This window comes from Homo sapiens, chromosome 8 (genome assembly GCF_000001405.40).
Source record: "Homo sapiens chromosome 8, GRCh38.p14 Primary Assembly".
Taxonomy (NCBI): domain Eukaryota; kingdom Metazoa; phylum Chordata; class Mammalia; order Primates; family Hominidae; genus Homo; species Homo sapiens.
In genome coordinates this window covers 5,157,325-5,163,016 of record NC_000008.11, presented here as the reverse complement: position 1 = coordinate 5,163,016, position 5,692 = coordinate 5,157,325, and the positions used below count along the sequence as shown (strand labels likewise).

Genomic DNA, 5,692 nt, shown 5'->3' with positions numbered 1-5,692 from the left:
TCTTGACTTCGTGATCCACCTGCCTCGGCCTCCCAAAGTGCTGGGATTACAGGCATGAGCCACCGTGCCTGACCAAGAGATATTATTAATAAATAGACTAAAATGGGGATGGGGAGGAACAGATATACAGGAACTCTCTGTACTTTTTATTAAATTTTTCTTTAAACGTAAAACTGCTCAAAACGTAAAGTCTACTAATAACACATTTTAAAGAGGGATTGGTAGCAAGTCTTCACAACCTGGCTTTATTTTGTTTTCTCATGTCTTCTCTGGACTTTGACCTCTCTGGATTATACACAGCTTAAGTCATATAAAATCTAGCAAAACGCTGTTTCCTATGTTGTATGGAACACACTAACTCATTTGAAATTCATGCTTTTTAACTTTTCATCACAAAGCCCAAGCCTCGTGAGTATATTAAATCATTGAAATGTCTGTCTTTATTTTTCACACTATAAAAAATTGATTTTGATTTTAGTTTAAAAGTCAGCTTTAATCTAGGTTTAAAATCAGCTCCTAGATTTCAAATCAGCTTAATTTGGTGACTTCTTTAAAAAGTTTCTACTGATTTTCCAGTTTTTAGGCACTACTCATGAACTCACTAGTCTTCCAGCTTTTCATTCTGCACATTTTCTGATTACATCTTTTGCCTGGCTTCATATATCCTCACAGATTTGCAATATTTATTCTGATACTCTAGATAGTAACATTAATTCTTCTGCATTTTTAGATGTCCCAAATGTCTTCTTCTAATCTGTCCACAAACTTACATTTGTCAGAATAATCCCATAAACATAAGTCCTTAATTTTGATGTGTTCCTGTCCATCAATATATTCTAATTTCCTTTAAATTTTTGCCTTTTACACTGATGTCTCTTGTATAACCAGTGTCCATGCCTGTATATAATATGACTTGGATACAAAACAACCAAAAAGTCTTTACTCCAATTGTCAATCAAACTCAAAAGGCTCCATTAGGCTTAGCACCAAGTTTATTTACTAAGAACCCGAGAAACGGGGAGCAGGACGGTGTGCAGGGAACCTGCACGCATGGCCTGGAGACTCTCAGATGCAGAGCCAGAAGTCCGCTCAGATGCAGAGCCGGAAGTCCACTCAGATGCAGAGCCGGAAGTCCGCTCAGATGCAGAGCCGGAAGTCTGCTCAGATACAGAGCCGGAAGTCCTCAGTCCCCTTACCCTCGTGAATACCAGTGGGGAGGTTGGCAGGAAGCTAATGTGATTTCTAGGACATTTCAGCGTAGAAACGCCATGGAATCCAGGTTCTGTCAGCTTTAACGTCTATCTAGCGACTGAATTCAGCTGAATAACCAGCTCCCTTTCCATCAGTTATGCAATAGAGCACCTGGCTGCGTGGTACAGCAGGTTAAGGAATGTCTGTGAATCTCTCATCGGTTCACAGCCAACCTACTGAACTCTTACGTGTTGATATTTCGAGGTTTATACCGTGTAAGGGTCATATTCTCAATGCTGAAACACAAACTATTGTCCAACTATTTTAACATTTTTTTTTCCGTAGAAATTCCATTTTACTCTTTTTCACATTATGATGCATTTTCCCTAACACTATCCATTAAATCATTCTCCATTTTCACTCCTTCTTGGGCCATTTCTATACAAGCTTCCTTTGTGTTTGTGATTATTCTGTATAATCAGCCATATTTCATTTTCCTGCACTAATTTGGCAGATTTACTACTATTACTATTACTGTTAATGATATCTTCCTTTCAGAATGTTTTTCTAAATAATTATTGGTGATCATCTTGTACTTGAAAAAATTGCTGAACTCTATAATTTGTTTTAAAAGTGTATCTAATGATTGTCTTTAATAATGCTAATTGTTGATTCCCTTCTGTTTTGGCCTGGGATTTCCAGAAAGCAGCAGCTAAGGTAATAGTTTAGGGGCTAATAATTTATTAGGGAGTGCAATTCCAGGAAGAGAATTAAGGGCCAGCGAGAGTGAGACAGAGAAGGATGGAGAGCCAATGTGGCACTCTTGGACATACCTGGCTGCCACGAAGTATAACTGATTGCTGATCCTGTGATTTTTTTTTTTTTCTTCAAGACGTTATTTAAGTTGCATTTTAGGGAATAAATCCAGAGGAGGAAAGGGAAAAACAAATAATTCATTGGCTCTCATTCTGTGGGGAAGGGAAAATAGCTTCTCCCCAGCCTTCTAGGTACTTTGGCTGCGTTATGAATTAAATTGACATAAGACAGATTTACCTGAGAAAACCCATATTTAATTATGTACTTAAACTTGAGCGTCTCACAAAAATAAGAGACTTGAGGAAGGGCCAGATGTTTGAAGCTTATACAGCATACTGAGCTACACAAAGAAATAGGGGCTTAGGGTTTCTGGCAGGGCATGGGGACTAGCGGTGGGGGTTGGAGACAGGAGAGGGCAAGGGGAGGAAATATATAAATATATGGTAAGTAAAGATTGCCTTGTTATGCAGATGAGACTCTCAGGTGATAAAAGTAGCCCAAAGCAGCTCTCTTCCTGGTATGGACACACTTAGTAAAAAATATTTCCTTTATAGATATAAATTTCTTGGCCAGGCACTGTGGCTCAAACCTATAATCCCAGCACTGTGGGAGGCCAAGGTGGATGGATCACTAGAGGTCAGGAGTTCGAGACTAGCCTGGTCAACATGGTGAAACCCCGTCTCTACTAAAAAATACAAAAATTAGCTGGGCGTGGTGGTGGGTGCCTGTAATCCCAGTTATTTGGGAGACCAAGGCAGGAGAATCTCTTGAACCTGGGAGGAGAAGGTTGCAGTGAGCCTAAATCATGCCACTGCACTCCAGCCTGGGCAACAGAGGGAGATCCATCAAAAAAAAAAAAAAAAAAAAAAAAAAAAAAAAAATATATATATATATATATATATATATATAAATTTATTTTACAAAGGAGAAGCTTTTCAGAGTTTCTGTAGTTTCTCAAAATAACCAGTGAATAGTGAATATGCCTAAAAGCAATATTTTGGGGTGGTGTGTGAGCCCCAATACTTCCCATTGACCAGAGCTTACACAAAGGTGCATTAACTTCCCTGAACTTACACATTTTGCCTGTTTGAGCACCAAGGAAGTCTTTGTGGCATAACCTTACATCTGGTTAAGTCATTCTTTGCTCTAGGCAAAATGAGAATATTTTTCTCTAGCAAAATCAAAGAGAATCCTTCTACTAAGGTTTCAGCAGAATCTCAGTATTTAAGACCCCCAGGTATCCCCATCCTGGGAGTCAGGACTTCAATCTCTCCACATCAGGGCTCTGATTTTGACTTTGGAAAATTGTGGTATTATGCAGCCAGTCTTTGCAGTCTGGCCACCACGCTGACAGACCCTGGGCATGAAGTTTATATAGTCGACTTTGCCCTGGGCAGCTGCAGGAGTTGACTTTCTTTCAAAGCAGTCATGAAAAGCCCCTTGGATGAGTTGGAAGTTGGCTGCCCAGAATGCATCGTTCTCTTTTATCTAGGATTCCAAGTGTAGTTACTATAAGCCAACTCACTGCACAATCCTAGTTATTTTCATTGCTCCCGATGCTGTTCAGGTGCCAGGGCTACCGTATATGCTAATGATTCACCCTGTGCCCATTTCTCATCAAGATTAAACACAGAAAAAAGCCTTTGTCATTGAAATGACACTGAATGCCAGCAGCAATCACTGTGGAACTAAGGAACCAAGACCAGGTTTTGAGTTGTATGTAACCTTGACACAGTTAAATAATCTAGCTAAAAATCTCAATGTGATGTTTGCATTCTGGGGCGAATCCTAACACGTCTCTTAGCATTGAGTTCTCAGAAAAAATCTAATGCAAGGGCTTATGTGCTATTCCTTCACAAGGTAATGTAATGTCAGAGATTAAGGTCAATAAGAAGGATAACGTGAAGGAAATAAATGGAGAATGAACGAAGTTAGGTTCAAGCTGGCTGCTGCTAAGTGCAACTGTGTGCTTGTCTGACGCAACATCCTCCAAAGAGGAATAAAAGGCATCACTGAGGAGTCTGTCTGGAGAAAGAAAGAGTGGATTTTATTTTCTGACTCCCATAGTTCATTAGTGAACGGCTTGCCACATGGGAGGTTAAATAACCCACATTTATGAATATCACACCCACAGTGCCGAGCAGGGACCATCATGTCCTGTGCTTGGGCACCAATAGGGAGCCCTGGGGCATCCAACAGAATGGAGCCCAGACACAGATGGGGCGTCCTCAGGTTACACCTGAGTAGGTTTAATGAAGGTTCACACAATAGGTGCCTGCAGTAGTGGCTGGAACATGAGGCATACAAGGCTGAGAGGACATGAAATGGCACATACTAAGTGTCTGAGATGTCTACTTGTTTTTAAACTCCTTTTATTGCATCTTTTTCTTGTTTTATTCTCCAGGCAAGCCCTTCACTGTTATGTTTAATGGCTATAGTAACAGCATGTGCTTTTTTCAAAATTATTATAGTACCCACAATCAGATTGTATCAAGTTTTGTAAGTGAGGTTTGCTGTAAGGTTTCTGTAAGTGCTTTTTTCTCACCTAAGGCAGTTTCTATCTTTGTTTTCTTTTCTGAAACTGTATATTAAATTTTATTTTTAAAATGTCTGCATCTACTCCCATCATTATGTGATTTTTTAAATATGTAGTCAATAGAAGGGATGAATTAAGTTGTTGGATTTACCTGAAGTTTTAAAATTCTTGAATTTCTGATATATACTTATGTTGATTGTAATAGTTTATTATTTGTTAATGCACCAATGGGTTTGGTGTAAAAATATGCGTGGGATTTTCAGGGCTATGCTATGAGTTCTTTTGTTCCTTATCTACCTCCGTAATCAAATCTATATTAAACTTACAAAATCAGTTGGTGACTTTCATTTTTGTCATTATGAGCAAATAAACTTTGTGAAGCAGAGGGTTTTCTATTCACTGAGGTGTTTTGGAGATTTCTTGTGCAACGCCTTATGGGAGTGGGGAATCTGATGAAGCAGGGGCTATGCTTTGATTCTCATTTAATGTCTTCATCTGCAGTTCGTCCTTTAAAGGTATTTACTTTTTCATTAACCAATTTTGGCTTCCCACCCCCCGAAAAAAAACCTGTTTTGTTTAGTTACTATCACCTGGCCTTCAGAATGCAGAGGGACTCATCCATTTATCCTCATCTCTTGCCTGTTCCCACACCAGCCACTCTCCGCTGACCCCTTCTTATCTGCTTGGCTGCTCATGTTTTCAATACACTCTTTCACCATCAATGAGAAAACAACAAATAACAAATTGAATGTATTTCAAATAAAAATAATTATTTTATTTAAGAAAATTAATGGCAAGCATGTAACTTGCAGAAGTTTTGTTGAAATTGACCATCCACCGTGAGGCTTGTGCTGATTGTTGTAACTGGTTCACATTAACGAAACAAAAATACAACTCTGGCTGGATGTGGTGGCTCATGCCTGAAATCCCAGCGCTTTGGGAGGCCGAGGCGTGTGGATCACTTGAGGTCAGGAGTTCGAGATCAGCCTGGCCAACATGGTAAAATTCCATCACTACTAAAGCTACAAAAATTAGCTGGGCATGGTGGCAGGCACCTGTAGTCCCAGCTACTGAGGAGGCTGAGGCAGGAGAATCCTTTGAACCGGGGAGGCGGAGGTTGCAGTGAGCCGAAGTCGTGACATTGCACTC

General features: G+C 39.8%; 1 annotated feature.

The window, feature by feature from the left end:
* Positions 1,171 to 1,671: an enhancer, noted in NCBI's record as "H3K27ac hESC enhancer chr8:5018868-5019368 (GRCh37/hg19 assembly coordinates)". NCBI's record gives its function as "activates a minimal SCP1, AML or CMV promoter by ChIP-STARR-seq in naive H9 embryonic stem cells {active_cell/tissue: H9 hESC(naive)}" and the evidence as "EXISTENCE:reporter gene assay evidence [ECO:0000049][PMID:30033119]".